Raw genomic sequence first — 18,690 nt, 5'->3', positions numbered from 1 at the left:
ACAAGGCAACAGAATCTCTGAACAATCTGCCATGGCGGGAAAGGATGGGACCCTGACAATTGTCAACTTATGCCTCTCACTTCATCTCTTGAGGTCTTGAAACTTCTTTTGCAAAAATTGTAACAGTGAGAAAATTATGACTGAGAGAGATCTGATCTAACCAGCCCCCACCTTGACTCTGTAAATCAAAGAACACGATCAAGGCAAGTCTCAATCATTTTAGGAGGTTTATTTGCCATAGTAAAGGATGCATGCCAGGGAGGCAGGTATATGCCTATCTCCAAAGATGATTTTGAGGGCTTCAGTACTTAAAGGGGAAAGGGTGGATACTGGGGGAAGAGAAATTTTTTTTTTTTTTTGAGACAGAGTCTCGCTCTGTCACCAGGCTGGAGTGCAGCGGCGCAATCTCGGCTCACTGCAACCTCCAACTCCAAGCGATTCTCTTGCCTCAGTCTCCCAAGTAGCTGGGACTACAGGCGCGCACCACCACACCCAGCTAATTTTTGTATTTTTAGTAAAGATGGGGTTTCACCATACTGGCCAGGCTGGTCTCAAACTCCTGACCTCCTGATCTGCCTGCCTGGCCTCCCAAAGTGCTGGGATTACAGGCGTGAGCCACCACGCCCAGCCAAGAAATATTTTTAAATTGTGTCAGTAGATAAAAAGATAAAACAGTTGCATCCTTTTGAATACACAATTTTCATGTGAGTGGGGAGTGGAGGAAATATTCATGCCTTAGTCTGGCTCAGTTAATCTGTATTTTTACATAAGATAACGTAGACAATAGGGCAGAGGAAGCAATCAGATATGCATTTGTCTCAGGTGAGGAGAGGGAAGACTTTGAATTCTGTCCTATGTCCCATACCTGTGAAGATATCAACTTACATTGCCAGGTTGAAATTCAACAGAACTGTTTTAGAGTAAAGATCTTTGGGCCTAAAAGGAATTTCCTTGTGGGTAAAATGTGAGGGAAGTATATAGCTTTTATCTTTGTAGCTATCTTATTTAGGAACCAAATGGGAGGCAGGTTTGTGTGACCCAGTTCCCAGCTTGACTTTTCCCTTTGGCTCAGTGAATCTGGGGTTTTCCTTTCTCATCTTTAACCTCCAAAACTGCCCTTGGTCATTCCTGGGCTTGCACCAAGCTAACTTTGGGAGAAACTTAGTTTACAGTTTAAGCGATAATAGCCCCTCCCCAAAACTAAACCACTTTTGTAAAACTAATGAAAAGCCACCAGGTTAGAAGGATAAGAGGAGCTTGAATTCTGCTAAGACATAGGCTTTGTTAAGTTAAATGATTACCAGCCACTATTCCAGAGGTCACTAGATTTGCAGCTTCCCCAGTTCACTACTGTAGAACCTAAGATTGGCCTTTTGAGATAAACTTTCAGGCTTCTGCATTTCGGATGGCTGACGACCCCACTGAGACCTTTGACTCTTGGCTCAACCAGTCCTGTGGCCTCCACCCAGAAGCAGGCTCAGTGCAGGGGGACCATTTTCCACACCCCTATAATTGCATTCCCAACCAATCAGCAGCACCCATTCCTCCAGCCTCCTGCCTGCCAAACTGTGTGTGTGTTGGGGGGGGGGTGGGTGTTTTGTTTTGTTTTGTTTTGACTATAGCTCTCAGATCTTAGCCAAACTATTCTTGAAAAACCCTACCCTCTGAATTTTGGGGGAGATTTGGAGTAATAACTCCATCTCCAAGACCTATCTCATGTCAATTAAATTCTTTATTGCAATGCCATGGTCTCTATGAATTGATTTTGTCTGTGCAGTGGGAAGGAAGAACGTATTGGGTGATTACAGTGTCATGGATTTAAATACCACCACCACCCTCAGAACTCTGAGAAAAGATAATACCTCAAACAGCTCTGAGCTGTCTGAGCTATGTGAAGTATGCAAAAATTTATCAGGCCCAGAGACAAGAGTTTGCCTGGGGGCAACTGTTTAGACATTTTGTTCCTGACTAGCAGCCTCACCCATTATCTTCATGTTCCTGGAATCTGTGATACAAAGAATAGTTTATAGCCAATCAATAGCTAATGTAATTTTAATGTAAATTCTTAGTAAACAACTTAGAAGCTGCCTCTTTTTCCTTTAAAAACCCACTCATAACCGCTGCTAATCAGAGTGTATATTTAGGGTAACTTGAATCTATGCTCCCAGGTAGCCATCTTCAACCTTTATGCTTGAATAAACTTCCTTTAAACTAGATTCTTACCTTTTTTATTATTTTAGGTTGACAACTCTCAAATTTATATCTCTAGCCCATTGGACTTCCTTCCCGAACCTCAGGGTCTAAATTTAATTGTCTATCCAGCCTCTCCACTTGGATGTTTAATAAGGATTTCAAATTCAACATATAAAAAACAAAATTCCCGACTTCCGCCTTAAAAATGGTTTCTTACAAGTTGCTCAAAACGCCTTTGACCTCACACTCCAAAACTAACATATCCACAAATCTTATAATTCTACTTCTAAAATACGCACAGAATTCATTGTTGTTTTCATCACCTCGATTTCCACCACTCTGGCCCACACCACTATCACCATGGCTGGATTATTGTAATAACTTCCTGATACCACTTTTCACCAACTAATACGAGCATTTTCGTCTGGTTCCCTCAGGGGTCCTTAAGCCCCAGGCTGCGGATAGAACCAATCCCTGGCCTGTTAGGAACCAGGAGGCACAGCAGGAGGTGAGCAGCAAGCAAGGGAGCATTACCTCCTGAGCTCCGCCTCCCTCAGATCAGCGGTGGCATCAGATTCTCATAGGAGCGGGGAACCTATTGTGAACTGCGCATTGGAGGGATCTAAGTTGTGTGCTCCTTATGAGAATCTAATGATAAATGTAATGCCTTTGAATCATCCTGAAACCATCATCCACCCCCCCACCACGAAACCGGTCCCTGTTGACCAAAAGGTTGGGGGCCGCTGCTCTATATAATCCCTGGGAGACTGACGACTTTGTCTCTTTCACTTAGTGCCATGAACTCCAGGGCAACTTTGTGGACGCTCCATAAACACTTGCTGGAATGAACCCATAAATATTTTATACTACCACATATACAGTAATACATTTAAGGAGCTGCTTGGGTGTGTAAAAAATTGCAGGGGACGTTTACAAATAAAGAACCTCCTGAAACAAAGCAATGAATGGAAAGTGGGATCAGCTGGTTGAAGCAATGCCCACAAGCTGCTCCAGCTTCCCAAAGCAGAGAGGTTTTCCACCTAAGCCAACATCCTTTTATTTTTAGTCACTATAGCTATAAATCTACTCCCTTACCCCGCACCTCACTCTCAGCCGACAGCCCAATGGGCTTATCCTCCTCTCGCCCTCACGATGAGCGAGTCCACGCGGTCTCAGGCTGGAAGATGCACTTGAACACCAGCCAAGCACTCACGGACGACACTGGATTCTAGGCCGCCTGGGCTTCTCCACTGTACTAGGAATGTAAAATCAAAAGTCAGAAAGAAAACTTCGGAGGTGGAATCTCCAACCCGGCAACGGGTTAGGAAGCAAAGCGCACCTACCAAAGGGCTGGTCCCTGCAGCCTCAAGGGCTGATGGGAAGTGAATCCACCGTCAACCGCCCTGATCCAAAATGGCAGGATACCGGAGCAATAGTGTTCAGGTGTGAAGATAGGGCAATTGAAGAAGGGAGAACGAAAGCATAATTGTTTTGATTCAACATGGAAGCAGTGATTATAGGAGGGCGAATAGCGAGGGACGACGCAACATCCAGCTGGCAGAAGCAGCGGGCCTGGAGAGGGTGGCTACATTGAACTAATCCAAGATGGCGCCGAGGTTGTAACCGGGAGCGCCCAAGAGGCGGGAATTACCCTGATCCAAGATGGCAGTGGCAACTGAGGCAAGCCGAAAGACGGGAGCGCCAGGAGCGTCTTTGCCCTCAGCCAAGATGGCGGCTGCCGTGGACCCTGTCCCGGCTCCGCCCCGCGGCCCTGGCCCCGCCTGCCCCTCGTCCCTTCCTCCGCCCCCTCTCCTCGCGTAGTCCGGCCCGAGCCGCTCGCGCTAGGAGAGCGGGCTTCGGGCACTTGACATGGCGGCAGTGGCGGCGACTGCAGCAGCGAAGGGGAATGGGGGCGGCGGTGGCAGGGCCGGGGCCGGGGACGCCAGCGGCACGCGGAAGAAGAAGGGCCCGGGGCCCCTGGCCACGGCGTACCTGGTCATCTACAATGTGGTGATGACAGCCGGGTGAGGCTGGGGCTCGGGGAGGCGGGGAGCCAGCGCGGCCGGGGAGGGAGCCCTGCGGCCAGCGGCGGGGCGGATAGGATCGGCGCGGCCCGCCGCAGGCAGTGCATTCCCGGCGGGGGGTGCCCGGGACCCGGTACCTGGGCGCTGAGGGCGGCCGAGCGCTGAATCGGCCCCGGTGGCTGCCCGCGAGCTCCCTCCTGCGCTGGGGGTCGAGCCAAGTTCCCAGGCACTGGGGCGCGGGGACGGCTGCCGGGCGCTGGCTCGCGAGGGCCGCGGGAGGAAAGGTGGGGCTGGCCACAGGTGCGGGGCCGGGGGCAGCGGCCGGACTACCTGCGGCGCGGAGCCCGTCCTGGGCGGCCAGATTCGGATGTTGAACGGCGCCAGCATGGGGAGTGGAGGAGCTGTGGCTGCAGAGTGACCATTCATTTGGGCGGCTGTTTTCAAAATCTGGGCTGCGCTTTAATCTGAAAGGTATTGGGAAAGCGTTCAAAGTTTTTGGCCAGCGACATGAGCAGAGCTAGGCTTTAGATGAGTTTAGACTTTTAGGATGGGTTGGGGTGGGGAAGAAACTGGGGAGTAGAAGGCAGAGTTACTGGAAAGGGGGAGAATGGACCCTCGAAACGGTTTTACCCATCTTCTGTCTCTTTCATTTCAGTGCATCCCTTATCCCGGCGGGTTTTTAGTTCAAGCTCTGCCACTAACTAGCTGTGTGACTTTGGATAAATCATCTTATTTCTCTAGCCTCCGTTTTTTCATTTGTAAAACTAAAGGGTTGGTCTGGGTGATGAAGGTTCCTTCAGCTCTGCAATTCTTTATCTTGTCATTTTGGTGAGGAGGATCACAGCATCAGACAGTTATATATTTTTAAGTTATCTTCATTTGTAATTTTTTAAGAAGTCCTAACATTTTATTATGAAAAATTTCAAACATACAGAAGAGTTGAAAGAATTGTATAGTGAACATCCATTTTTATTTAAAGTAGGTGATACATTGTTAGGGTTAAAAATGAAAAACATGAGGGAATACAGTGAAAATCTTTCCTCCCACCTTTCCCTTCTACCCAGCTCCCCTCCCTCGAGGCAGTTAATTTTGTGTATCCTTAAGATGCTGATGCAAGCAAATATGTTTATACATCCCCCTATCCCTTTTTAAAATAAGACAAATGCCAATATATTAATATTTTTACAGTTCAGCACCTTGCTTTTTTTTCACGAAGAAGAAAATATATCGTGGGAGGATCATATATGTATTGCTAGTATTAGAAATGGTAGGTGTTGGAACCTAGGCTCAGAGAAGTTGTGACTTGCATGAGATCATAGAACTTGTTAGTAGAAGTTCCAGATCTAGAAATCATTTCTCTTGACTCACAGGTCAATGAAGAACTAGTACAGATACAAGCTTTATATCACATCAGTGGTCACATAGATTGATTTTTAAAAAAACATCCAGGAATCTCACTGTGTGTATTAATATTTATATATAAAATTCTTGTTGTCTTAGCAAGAGCCGGTGAGGGCATTGGACTGGAGAGGGATTTTGAGGTACATTGGTAAGAAGAAAGAAGTCTATTCCTGAGCAATGAACATAGAGAATGGGGTGGAGGGTAAGGAGTGGTATCTTAAACCAGGAAGATAAATTGGGATTGTGAGAGCAAAGTAAGCTTTTTTTTTAAGGCTGTTAATGGTTGTACCAGTTACACCATTAAATAATTTCTTCTTTTACAAACTCTTACTTGATGTCCTTATGTGATAGTTTTTGGAAATAGCATAGACCACACACACCCCATTGCCTAGTTGATACTATACATTTATCTAAATCCTTCCAGGAGACATACCTTAATAAAAAGGTCCATTTGTTTTATTATGGAACTTAACAAAACATTGTGTTTATTTTTGAGAAGGACAGTGGAACAAAAATATAACATTCACAGCTGTATGCTTAAGTGCTTTCCTGTTTCGTGGTTTGTATTGATCTGGCTTTCATTTCTGCATTGATTTTAGGAAATTTGGCTAAAAAACTTTTTTTTTTTAGCAAGAGCCCTTTATTCGTAATTTTAAAAGGATAGATTTTAAGGTATGGGTAATTGTTCCAGTGAGACAATTATAACAATAGTTTAAAGCATCTTCTTTCCACCCTGTAATTATTAAAAACCCTTTAACTGCACAGGCTGTTTAAAATTTTCCTTTAACTGTTTTTTTCTCGTCTTAGATTTTCTTGGCACCTGATTTAGTGGCACAAGGACCATTTTAGCTTATTCCTTTCCTTTTGGCCTTGATCTCAATAGCAAAGTTGCCAAAAAAATGAGCTCCAGATGGGTGAGGTGCCACTATGCTTTCACTGAGCCCTCTTGGTAAGGTGCTGTCGGTGTTGCAACATTTCAGTGCATTACAGCTTGGCATTTGAGAGCTATCGTCCATAAATCCAGGTTACTCATGCTTGAGGTCACCTTTAGCAATATCTTTTATTGCCACAGCTGTGTGTTAACCTAAATGCTACTTTTTTTATTTTTATTTTTTCCTGATTGCTGTTTTCTCTTTTACTAGGTGGCTGGTTATAGCGGTTGGTCTGGTCCGAGCATACCTGGCTAAGGGTAGCTACCATAGCCTTTATTATTCAATTGAAAAGCCTTTGAAATTCTTTCAAACTGGAGCCTTATTGGAGGTAGGTCCTGAGATTTATTGTTGTTATTGATTTCCATTGGTATGAAGAAAAACATGCAACTAAATTATATTGAAGTAGCATACCCCCTTTGGATTCATGTTAAATTTTGAAATTTTGCCTCCTCACATACTAAAGTGTTGATACCTAGGCTTTTTGATGTTCTAGATTGGGTAGAATCTCATTTAACTTAGGTTACCTTGAATGTATTTTATATTCGACTTTTTTGGGAAATCAACTGAAGCAAGCTTATATTAGGATTTTTAAAAATTCTAGGGACATCCTGGGGAAGCACTGGCAAAATCAGATGCTTTCAGGGTTTATGTAATAGAAATAGTGAAGTTGGTGGGTGTAGGATATTGGAAGTGATAGATAGAAGACATAATAGAGAGCCTGTCTAGAGGCGTCCAAATTTTAAAAATTTAACAAAAATGTATTGATTTCCCTGCATTAAGGGCAATGTATATCCAGCCCTCTCTCTTGGGGTAAGTATAGATTAGGATTTTGGAATTGCAAGGGACAAAAACCCAATTCAAACTATTTTAAGCAAAAAAGGAATTTTCTGGCCTCTGTAGTTGATACAGATACAGGATTAATTTACAAAGAAACTAGCTCAGGAATGAGAACCAAGGAGCTGACACTGCCAGATTCTCTTGCTTTCTCTCATTTCTGCTTGTCTGTTTCTCTTTGAATGTTGGTCTTGGGCTCTCCACATGGTGGGAAACAGGGAGGGTGTTTATTTTTCGCAGCATCTGTGTCACACAGTTCCCAGAGAGGATTCTGGTTGGCCCTACTTAGACTATGCCAGTGATGTGAGGTGCTTGATTAGCCAATCTTAGGACACATGCCCATTCTTCTGTCCAAGGGACTATAGACTTTGCTTATGGAAAAGAGGGATGGGGATAGCTTTGGGCACACAAAATCAATAGCCGCCATAGTTCGTATATTTCATTATGGTGAAAAACCTTCAGATTGCAGGGAAGATCTGGTTCATTTTGCTTAGCCTCCAGGCAAGACCATCATAACATTTATACTTTACTGGCAACTTTTAAAACCTGAACTATGGAATGATACTTAAGAAAAAATCATTTATCTCGCTGGGCACGGTGGCTCACGCCTGTAATCCCAGCACTCTGGGAGGCCGAGGCGGGTGGATCACGAGGTCAGGAGATTGAGACCGTCCTGGCTAACACAGTGAAACCCCGTCTCTACTAAAAATACAAAAATTAGCCGGGTGTGGTGGCACGGGCGTGTGGTCCCAGCTACTGGGAGGCAAGGTTGCAGTGAGCTGAGATCACGCCACTGTACTCCAGCCTGGGCAACAGAACGAGACTCTGTCTCAAAAAAAAAAAAAAAAAAAATTCTTTATCTCATGAAATGAAGTGTGATACCTCTACCTTTCATTCTCAATTTTTTTTTTTTTCTTGAGACAGGGTCTTGTTCTGTCGCCCAGGCTGGAGTGCAGTGGTGCCATCATGGCCGTGGCTCACTGCAGCCTTGAACTCCTGGGACCAAGCAGTCCTCCCACCTCAGCTTGCAGAGTAGCTGGGCCCACAGGCTTGCACCACCATACATGGATAATTTTTAAAACTTCATAGAGACAGGGTCTCCCTGTGTTGCCCAGGCTGGTCTCAAACTCCTTGGCTCAAGCAATCTTCCCATCTCAGCCTCCCAAAGCACTGAGATTACAGGCGTGAACCACTGCACCCAGCCCACTCTCACTTTATTTATTTATTTTTTTGAGAGAGGGTCACTCTGTCACCCAGGCTGAAGTGCAGTGGTGTGATCACTGCTCACTGCAGCCTTGACTTCCCAGGCCCCAGCCATCCTCCCACCTCATCCTCCCAAGTAGCTGGGACCACAGGCGTGCACTACCGTGCCTGGCTCATTTTTATATTTTTGGTAGAGGTGAGGTTTGGCTGTGTTTCCCAGGCTGGATTCACTCTCACGTTCTAGATCAGAAAGTTATCCATTTTGCTTTTGTTTTTTTCTCTTAGAAGGCAGAGGAATTTCTTTTTTTCTTTCTTTCTTTTTTCTTTTTTTTTTTTGACACAGGGCCTTACTCTGTTGCCCAGGCAGGAGTGCAGTGGTGGGATCTCGGCTCACTGCAACACAGAGGAATTTCAATAGTGTCCAAACTTAGGCATTTTAAGTAGGTGGTATGATGAAATGAGCTTCCAGCTGGAAGCCTGAGTACCTTTTTATTTTAAGTATAATAGTTTTCCCAACTGACTCTATAGATTTGGGCAAGTCTTTTCTCTCGTATCCACCTCCTTTTCATTTGTAAATAATTAGGTTAAAGTAGATTTCTAAAGTCCCTTACTACCCTAAATTTGAGTGTGAGGAAATTTTAACAAATCCTAATGTGAACCATTTTTTAAACTTAGAGGCTTGAACTTTTTTTGGAAGCGGACACTAGTAAATAAGTAGTACTTTCTCTTTCAGAACCTTGGCCAGTACAGTTCCCACAAGCTACAGAGAAGCAAATTTGGAGTCAAGACCATCAGACTTCCAGTACTTGATATAGTAGGGGGTTGTCCCCATTTGGAATACTTCAATAATTTAAAGGGGTTTCTATCTCTTTAAGACATCATAATATTAGAGCTGAGCACAGTGGCTCATGCTTATAGTCCCAGCAATCCCAGAGCTTTGGGAGGCCAAGGCAGGAGGATCACTTGAGGGCAAGAGTTCGAGACCAGCTTGAGCAACATAGCAAGACCTCATCTCTACAAAAAAAAAATTTTTTTTTTTTTAGCTGGGCTGGGTGGTGGGTACCTGTAGTCCCAGCTACTTGGGAGGCTGAAATGGGAGGCTTGAGCTTGAACCCAGGAGTTTGAGGCTGCAGCGAACTATGATTGCATCACTGCAATCCAGCCTGGATGACAGAGTGAGACCTTGTCTCAAAAAAAAAAAAACTTGGTAATGTTAGAAGTATAATTTTTAAAATTTAAGTATATCTTATGGAAGGTAGGGACATTAAACAGTGTCATACTTTAAAATCCACTCAGGAACCAAGTCTTAGACTTTGAAGGATTAGCCTGTTTATCCTTATAGAATTTTTAATAGGGATTTAGGAAAATATCTTGGATTTTTGGTTTTATCTCTGTTATCCCCACTAAGAACCAATTAAGTGACAAATCCTGGATTTGATTTTGGGAAAATGTCTGTGCATAAGGAAGTGAAGACTCCCAGGAACATGCAGGCAATTAACGTTGCAAAGGTCAGTGATGGAAGTAATCCCTTGGACTGGGCGATAGAGCAGGCTTGCTAAAACCACAATTTCTGTGGTTGAGGAGTTTTTCATTGCCTACCCCATCTACACTGTGTAATAATTAGATGTGTGTGGTATTGTTTAATTACACATAAGTTATCCTGATGGGAATTATTAGTGTTGACATATATCCTGTTTACAGGAGGAGAAAATGAATCCAGGGAAGGCAGCTACTCATTTATATCTCTTTATGCTAAATGTTATTCTTTATTAGGTTCTGTGGGAGTTTACTTAAAAAGGAAATCGAAATTACTTGTTCTCCAATTTCACATCTTCTTAAGAAAATAATAACACTTTGCTTTTTAAAAGACATAAAAACATTTACCAAGCAAGTACAAAGGAGCATGTAGTAGCAAGGTACAAAAGGAAGCCTGGCTGAGTACCATGGCTCACACCTGTAATCCCAGCACTTTAGGAGGCTGACATGGGGGGATTGCTTGAGGCCAGAAATTCAAGACCATCCTGGGAAACATAGCGAGACCCCATCTCTACAAAAAATTAAAAAATTGGCCAGGCATGGTAGCACATGCCTGTAGTCCCAGCTAATCAGGAGACTGAGGTGGGAGGATCACTTGTGCCCAGGAGTTCAAGGCTACAGTGAGCCATGATCGTGCCACTGCACTCCAGCCTGGGTGACAGAGCAAGACCCCATTTCCAAAAAAAAAAGTATCTATAAATAAAATGCTACTCATGGATAAAATGTGGTCTATGGATATAAACATTCATAAAATTAATAAAGGCAAATGAATTACTGATATATGCCTGGATAAATCTTGAAAAAATGCATGTGAAAGGAGGCAGATACAAAAAGTCACAAATAGTATGATTTCATTTATAAGAAATATCCAGAATAGGCAAATCCATAGTGACAGAAAGTAGAGGAATTGTTAGGGGCTGTGGGGAGAGAGAGTGGGGTGTGACTGCTAATGGTACAGGATTTCCTTTTAAGGTGATGATATTGTTCTTGAAATAGTGGTGGTGGGTGCACAACTCTGTGAACATATTAAAAACCACTAGATTGTACAGTTTAAAATTGTGAATTTTGTGGCATGTGAATTATATGTCAGTTTTTAAAAAACGAGTTCCTCTGTAATGAGTTGTGGGTGTTTTCTACTTTATTCATTTTTGGAGTCCATGATATTCATTGATGAGGCAGATGTTATCTTTGCATATTTGTCAAGTATAGTTAGATTAAAAATTAGTGGACTAATGCAGTTATGGCAGTTTAAAATTATGTTTGAGAGAATTTGGGTTTCTAAATATCTTTGGTTAACATAAGACTGTAATTATAGCAAAGACACTTTCTTTTTTTTTTTTTTTTTTGAGACAGAGTCTCACTCCATCGCCCAGGCTGGAGTGCAGTGGCGCGATCTCGGCTCACTGCAAGCTCCGCCTCCCGGGTTCACGCCATTCTCCTGCCTCAGCTTCCCGAGTAGCTGGGACTACAGGCGCCCGCCACCACACCCGGCTAATTTTTTGTATTTTTAGTAGAGACGGGGTTTCACCATGTTAGCCAGGATGGTCTCGATCTCCTGACCTCATGATCCGCCAGCCTCGGCCTCCCAAATTGCTGGGATTACAAGTGTGAGCCACTGCGCCCGGCCAAAGACACTTTCAAATACTCATGATTGGATATGCCTCTGTGATTGACAGTGAGATTTCAAATGGGTTAAAGATTGCTCTGCAAAGAGGTTAACTGTTGAGATTGATACAGGCTATCTTCAACATATGTACATTGCTGTATATGACATTTACCTACCATTGTGCATCTGGGACTTCCTGATGGACCACAGGAATTCCCTTTTCTTCCCATTCTCTTCCAGATCTTTCTTCTACTTGAAACCCCTTATCTACAAAAATGAATAAACAACCCAATCTCATTTCTGATCGTGTCCTGGAATTGATCTAGGGCAAGGTCTGGAGAAGTGGTGGGAGACAGCAGACAGCTTTTGTTAGTCTTCTAACCCCAGCACTTTCTCAGCCTCATCTGTGTGTTCCTGTCTCACTCTGCAGACCTCACTTCACAATGCTCTTCAGATCCTTTAATGAATAGGAAATTGATTTTGGGTATTTCTATAAAATACAGCAAAGTCTTAGAAACTTGCAGTGTCCTTAAGAAGAAAGATCCCTTCTTATCTCCCTGCCAGTTTTTCTTTCTTTATGGCTCAAACACTAACTGATTTTTGCCATGGAGGTATTGTGCTTCAGACTGCTTTTGTGAACTGGTTTGAGGACATAACCGTTGTCTGTTATATTTTTCCTTCTTGTGGAAACATTCTGATTTCCCAGTAATAGTCTCAAAAAGGAACTTCTGAAATGCAAGCTACATGCATGTGTTAGGCTCCTTTTATTCTGGACCCATTTTGAGGAAACACATCTCTAAAAGAGGCTTTTGAAAAGCTAGCAAGAGCAAGTTATAGTGTAGATATCTAACACAAATAGGAATGACAACAAATCCCAGAAAAACCAGCTTCTCAAACAGTGTGAAAACCAGAGGAAAACTCTAACTTGATTAAAATTAATAAGTGTCACAACATTAGAAGGGAAGAGAGAGCTGGAAGGAAACAGGAACCCACCCACACAGGCCTCACTGCTTGGTGACTCAAGCAAATAGAAGCAAATTGATGTGGTATTCAAAGAGGTACAATAGCTAACATCTGTAGAAGGGAATGTACTGAAATTAAAAAAAAAAAAGAACTAAAAATATCAATGGTGGCAATATAGGGCACGAAGGAGCCACAGTGCAAGAAATAGGTGATACTGAAGATTCAAAAAAGGCGGGAGTTTCCACTCACGTTCTCATATAAAATGAATTGCAGAACAGAAGTCATAGGGAAATTTTCAAAGTTCACCATGTAAAAGAAACATTACAAAACATTATAACAGAAAAACAATATATATAGAACCAATGTATCTAGAAAACCTGATGAGGTTGTATAAGCTTTCAAAAAGTAAGACTACCAGAGGAAGTAGAAAAGGTTGGAATATACAGCTTATAAATAATCAGGGAGAAAAGTTATAGAAAACTTTGCTGAACTGAAAGGCCACCTCACTATGGTTAGTGAGAGTTTATGGTGTTCCACAACAAAAAAATTTCTTCCCTTCCTGAGTACTTAAACAATTTCCAGCATAAAAGAGCAGATTTTAAAATGTAATAGTTAAAAACAACTTGGGACCTTAAACTTGAAAGAAGAAAAAATCCCCGTGTAGTAGGAAATATTAGGTTCCTGGATAACAGACCATGCAGTTTCCTAAAGCTGGAAACATTTTGAAAACACTTAGAAAAGCTAATGGAACTTTGAAAGCACCTTACCAAAGATTATTTAACTTTAATCAGAGTAGTTAGCTGTTATCAAAGAGTAACTGTTATATAAATAAATAAAATTAACCAAGTTTTCAGACTAGCACTGTCCAATAGGACTTTCTGCAGTGATAACGTTGGAACGCTGTCCAAAACAGTAGCCACTAGTCACTTAAAATGTGGCTAGTGGGTCTGAGAAACTGAGTTTTTAATTTTATTTACTTTTGGTCAGGAGTGGTGGCTGACACCTGTAATCCCAGCACTTTGGAAGGCCAAGGTGGGAGGATCGCTTCAGGCCAGGAGTTCAAGACCAGCTTGGGCAATATAGCAAGACCTCGCCTCTGCAAAAAATTTTAAAAATTTAAAAAATTAGCCGGATACAGTGGCGCATATTAGTCCTAGCTACTCGGGAGGCTAAGGCAGGAGAATCGCTTGAGCCCAGGAGTTTCAGGCTGAAGTAAGTTATGGTCACTCCACTGCACTCCAAGTCTAGGAGACAGAGCAAGACCCTGTTTTCCAAAAAAAAAAAAAATGAAAATTCTTTACTCTTTATTTAAGTTTAAATAGGCACATATGGCTAGTGGCTGCACAGTATAAGCCTTTAGACCACGGTACAGAATGCAGTGTGATCATGTGGAATCCCATAAGATATTTCAGATTTTACCAGGATAGAATGAAGTGGGAAGGAGGATAAACATAACGATGTAAATTTTGTATCACTCCAGAGTTCATAAATTTTTAAATTGATAATAGAATAGTTATATGCTGATGTTTTCAGATTAGGAAAATCAATAGGGAATAAAAGCACAATTGCAGATACTGAAAAAGGTATGGAAGAGTATATATCAAACTGTTAATTAGAGCTTACCTCTGGAGGGGCGTGGTATTTTGGGGCAAGGGGGGAGTAAAAGATTACCACTTTTAATATACTTTAGTATATATTTATATATCACATGAAACATGTAATTTTTTAAAATAAAATTCTATATTATATGTAATTGAAAACAAGATGAATGAGGAAAATAAGATTTTAAAGTTTTTTGAAAAAGGAAGACAATAGGCAGCTTATTTTATTTTTCGATTTAAAGAGAAATAGAGTTTTACATCTACAAATCCTGTTAATTTTTTTAATGGCAGGAGAATAATAAACCTATAGCATAATAGAGTATAGTAAAAATACATCATTTTTTATGTTTATACAAATGGACTGATTAAATTTATCAAGATGAAAAGATGAAATGATGGTTACTGGTTAAAAACTAAAGTCTAACAATCTGTTGTTTATGAGACTGACTTTAAGTTTACTAAGGGACAAACCAGCTTGCCATGACCAAGTGTCAAGAAAAGCAGGACTACCCAGTTACAGCATAAGATAAAGTTGATTTCGGAGCAGAAGCTGAAGAGAACCTTAGTTCACAGTTTGTCAGTAGCAAGAACATGGGAGACACATGTTGGTGAAATCATATGATGAATGAATGATTATCTGAACAGAGAAACAAAATATGTAAAAAGCTGGCAGAAATGCTATAGAAGTTAAAAAATAGAATTGTTCTTAAGAGGTGTCACAGTTTGGGTATGAAGACTTGGTTTTGCCATTAATTAGCCCTGTGACCTTGATCTTAACCTCTCTCGCCCTCGATTCATTATGTGCAGTGAATACACTGGATTAGGTGACCTTACATTTTTCCCCACTTTTAAGTTCTGTGAGACTTCAACATTTCACTATCAAAATATGAAAATTAAGCAAATAATGAATTAGTAAATTATAGGGGTGGAAATAGCAAGAAAGGTGAAATTAAGTGATAAAGGAAAAATAATGATAATTGAGGAATCTTTTTACCTATTTCGTCCTTAAAAATTGGATGTAAAAGGATTTTGAAAACATGTTTGGAGTCTGAGGGAGCCCAGTGAATAACCAACACCCTTTTGCTTGTTTATGTTCTGAACATTGAGCAGTAACTCAAAGGAGTTACATAAGGATCCTAAAAATCACCTTTATTAGTGATAAAGGCTGAGGACATGCTTTAGTGTGCGAGTCAAATGGGTTTGCTAACTGAACTCCACAGTTAGACTCACCACTCACCCTGTCCTGAGCAGCAGCAGATGGGCTGTCTTAGAAGAAACCATGAAAACTTGAGGTTCTCTATGAAACCTCTCTAGTGGAGCTGAATTGAACACACCCCATTTATTCTTCCCAAATTTACGCTCAAATGAGTCATCCTTTCCAGAGGTAAAGTAATTAAAGGAGACTAGTACTATGTGGTGGAAATCCATCCTTATAGAAACCAGAAGAGAGTGGAAAGGTGTTTTCCCCCAGTAATAAGTACTATATATTCATTGTAGAAAAAATTCAGATGCAGAAGAAAATGCATAGCAGTCATAATCTAAAGATAACCACTGTTAACATTTTGGTGTCTATCCTTGAAGACTATATATTATTATTATTAAGTTTTAAGCAAGAATGAAATCATATATGTGTAGAATATGATAATTCCTAAAACAAATCAAATATTGGTAGATGTAACTCAAATTGGTTATGGACCTCTGCACCGTAAAACAAGTGTCGTGGACATGTCTGTGGAGCTGCCCAGCTCAGCGTATCCTCTCTGGAATTTGTCTGGTTCTCAAGGCTGGACCCTTAGCAGCTACATCTCTATTCCCTGACTCTGCATCTTAGGCCATAGCTGGCTGATCCAGGGGTGCGTAACTGAGCCAGAGTGGGCTAGTCAGGTTTTTTTTTTCCTCCCAAGAATTTGGAATTTTGAATTGAAAGACAGAGATGGGGAATCACTGTAGATGAATCACATTAAGTCCATGGGCTGCAGCTGAGGTCTTGAAAGCTGCTTGGGTTTCTGTTCCCTTTGAGACTTCTTAAACTTTTTGGGGCTTTGTTGTTATTGTTTTACCTTGGATTAAAAATGAAATTGAACAGAATTGTTGGTAACCTACAAAAATAATTCCCCTAGTTCAAATTTTAGAAACTTTGAAAAGATGTTTCCAAGTAATTTATTGTGCAAATGGCAATTTTACATTGAGGTTAAATTTTAAAACTAAAATCAGTTTATTGCCAGTGGAAATGGAAGGGACACAAGAGGAGAGAGGAGTTTATGGTTCATATTTTCTTTTCTTTTCTTTGAGACAGGGTCTTGCTCTGTTGCCCAGGATGGAGTGCAGTGGCATGATTGTAGCTCATTGCAGCCTCAACCTCTTGGGCTCAAGTGATCCTCCTGCCTCAGCCTTCCAAGTAGCTAGGACTACAGGCACATGCCACCAGGCCCAGCTAGTTTTTAAAATTTTTTGTAGAGCTGGGGGTCTCACTGTGTTGCGCAGGCTGGTCTTGAACTCCTGACCTCAAGTGATCCTCCTGCTTTGGCCTCCCAAAGTGTTAAGATTACAGGTATGAGCCACTGTGCCTGGTGCAACATGTATTTTCAAGGGAGATTTTGAATATGGCAAGTCATCTAAATTTTTTTTGATGAGGTGTGCTTATTCTTATCCAGTGATTCTTGGTGGACCTCAACAAAGCAGTGCCACCACTTCACTTCACCACTTCAGAGTGCATTTTGGAAAATTGTGAGAGTATTTCAATTGCCACAATGACTGGAGATGCTACTGGCTAGATGTCCTACGATATGTAGACAGTCCAACTTCATGAAGATTTGTTCTGCATCCTCCTTGGCTTCTGCATATCTCCCCAGGCCAACCCCTCTACAAATATAAATGGACCATTTTGTAGTACATATTAATACTGAAAAATCTTCAGGAAAAATTAAAAAGCTTATTAAGTTAGAAGAAGGTTGTGGTCTTAGTTTTTGTTGCTGTAAAACAAAAATACCACAAACCTAGCAGCTGTGAAAACAATGCTCATCGATTAGCTCATAGTTTTCTAAGTCAGAAGCTGGGCTTGACTGGGTTCTTTGCTCGGGGGTCTCATAAGATTGAAATCAAGTTGTCAGCCAAGCTGGCTGATTTCTTATCTGGAGGCTCCAGGGGAAGAATCCACTTTCAAGCTCATCCAGGTTATTGGCTGAATCTAGTTGTAGGTGTGAGGTCTGCATTTCCTTGCTAGCTGTCGGTAGGAGGTTACTCCTCATTCCTAGAGGCTGCTCTCCAGGCCTTGCACGTGACTCCCCTGCAGCTTCAAAGCCAGAGTGGCCTGCTGAATCCCTCTTGTTCTTTGAATATCTCTGACTTCCCCTTCTGCCACCAGCCAGAGGAAACTGCTTTTAAAGGGCTCATCTGGTTGGGTCTGGTCCACCCACATAATATCTGTATCTTCAAATCAATTGACTTGAGACTTTAATTACACTTGCAAAATCCCTACACTGCAGTACCTAGATTAGTGTTTGATTGAATAGCCAAGGAACAGTAATTGTGGGGGATCGCCTTAAGAATGCTGCCCTACCACCATCATTGGTATGAAACGAGAAGCTTAAGTGAAATGAAGGTATTGTCTCAAAATAATTAAGTAATTTATTCTCTCTGCACATTCTGTTCTGTAAGCATTACAGCATTTCTAGTTTGCATATTTAGTTGAAAAGGATTTCAGCGCAGTAGTGAAAATCATTGAAAATCAGTTTTGAGATTCCTGTTTAGACTTCAATTATTAAATTATTGGAGACACATGATATGTAGGGATTTCATTGTATTTCTTTCATATAGACTAATATTTCATATTATTGCCTGTGTGTGTGTGTATGTGTGTGTGTGTGTGTGTGTGTGTGTAATGGTATGAAATCTAGGTTGTGAAATGTAAATTTTATTTTGGGATAGCTCGTCTTCTGTTTTGTCCTAAAAGTATCCCCTGTTAAACAATGGCTTTATTGCCTCTTGCATTACAGTTTTTTTACATCTAATTCCTCTCCTATTCCTTGTTGCACCATTTAAAGAATACGTTTTCAAGGTCTTTTTACAGACCGTACACTGATTGTATGTCTCAATAGGATTTCAAAGCAGAAGGATAGATTTTCTGTGATACTTTCCTCCGACCCCATCCCATGACATAACCTAGGAGATTATTTAGATTATTTTGACACTTTATAAATAAATAAGACCTAGCTGATTTGAAATAGTAATGTACTCCTTCAATTTCTCTACTTTGACTGTTACTTACTTTAGCATGTTATTCCAACTTTGTATAAGGTTACTTCTTTATTTCTATTATTAATACTCTTTTTTCCAAGTATTAGGCTGTACCTCTACATCTGCCCTTTTATTTTCCTGTGCTTGTCCACAGTGGTTTC

The 18,690-nt window shown here is 41.4% G+C and overlaps 1 protein-coding gene and 1 long non-coding RNA gene across 10 annotated transcripts in view, besides 3 other annotated features; one reads left to right on the top strand and one right to left on the bottom strand.

Annotated features, from left to right (window-relative positions):
* MYLK-AS1 (MYLK antisense RNA 1) overlaps positions 1-3,577 on the bottom strand; it is a 45,309-nt gene extending 41,732 nt beyond the window's left edge. Inside the window, exons 1-2 of one of the 2 annotated variants that reach the window (NR_121654.1) lie at positions 3,537-3,577; positions 3,289-3,443 (exon numbers count right to left, since the gene is read on the bottom strand). This is a non-coding gene — a long non-coding RNA (MYLK antisense RNA 1). Of the gene's footprint in view, positions 1-3,288 lie in introns of both variants that reach the window. The other variant, NR_038266.2, reaches the window with a different exon arrangement.
* Positions 3,553-3,852: an enhancer, noted in NCBI's record as "active region_20393". NCBI's record gives its function as "activates an Ori minimal core promoter by ATAC-STARR-seq in GM12878 lymphoblastoid cells {active_cell/tissue: GM12878}" and the evidence as "EXISTENCE:reporter gene assay evidence [ECO:0000049][PMID:35858748]".
* Positions 3,913-4,522: a silencer, noted in NCBI's record as "silent region_14649". NCBI's record gives its function as "represses an Ori minimal core promoter by ATAC-STARR-seq in GM12878 lymphoblastoid cells {active_cell/tissue: GM12878}" and the evidence as "EXISTENCE:reporter gene assay evidence [ECO:0000049][PMID:35858748]".
* Positions 4,037-18,690, top strand: part of HACD2 (3-hydroxyacyl-CoA dehydratase 2) — a 93,500-nt gene continuing 78,846 nt past the window's right edge. For 4 of the 8 annotated variants that reach the window (NM_001329786.2, NM_198402.5, XM_047447663.1 and 1 more), the window contains exons 1-2: positions 4,037-4,217; positions 6,761-6,878. Coding sequence is in view for 3 of the 8 variants with exons in the window: in NM_198402.5 (NP_940684.1) it covers positions 4,063-4,217; positions 6,761-6,878 (273 nt within the window). In the remaining 5 variants the exon portion in view is untranslated. Of the gene's footprint in view, positions 4,218-4,472; positions 4,689-6,760; positions 6,879-9,320; positions 9,390-18,690 lie in introns of those variants that run through there. The other 4 variants (NM_001329787.2, XM_047447665.1, XM_047447664.1 and 1 more) reach the window with 2 other exon arrangements.
* Positions 4,533-4,712: a silencer, noted in NCBI's record as "silent region_14648". NCBI's record gives its function as "represses an Ori minimal core promoter by ATAC-STARR-seq in GM12878 lymphoblastoid cells {active_cell/tissue: GM12878}" and the evidence as "EXISTENCE:reporter gene assay evidence [ECO:0000049][PMID:35858748]".

The sequence above is a fragment of the Homo sapiens genome, chromosome 3, assembly GCF_000001405.40.
Source record: "Homo sapiens chromosome 3, GRCh38.p14 Primary Assembly".
Classification (NCBI taxonomy): Eukaryota; Metazoa; Chordata; class Mammalia; order Primates; family Hominidae; genus Homo; species Homo sapiens.
The sequence above is the reverse complement of the archived record's forward strand: the minus strand, read 5'-3'. Positions and strand labels throughout refer to the sequence as shown.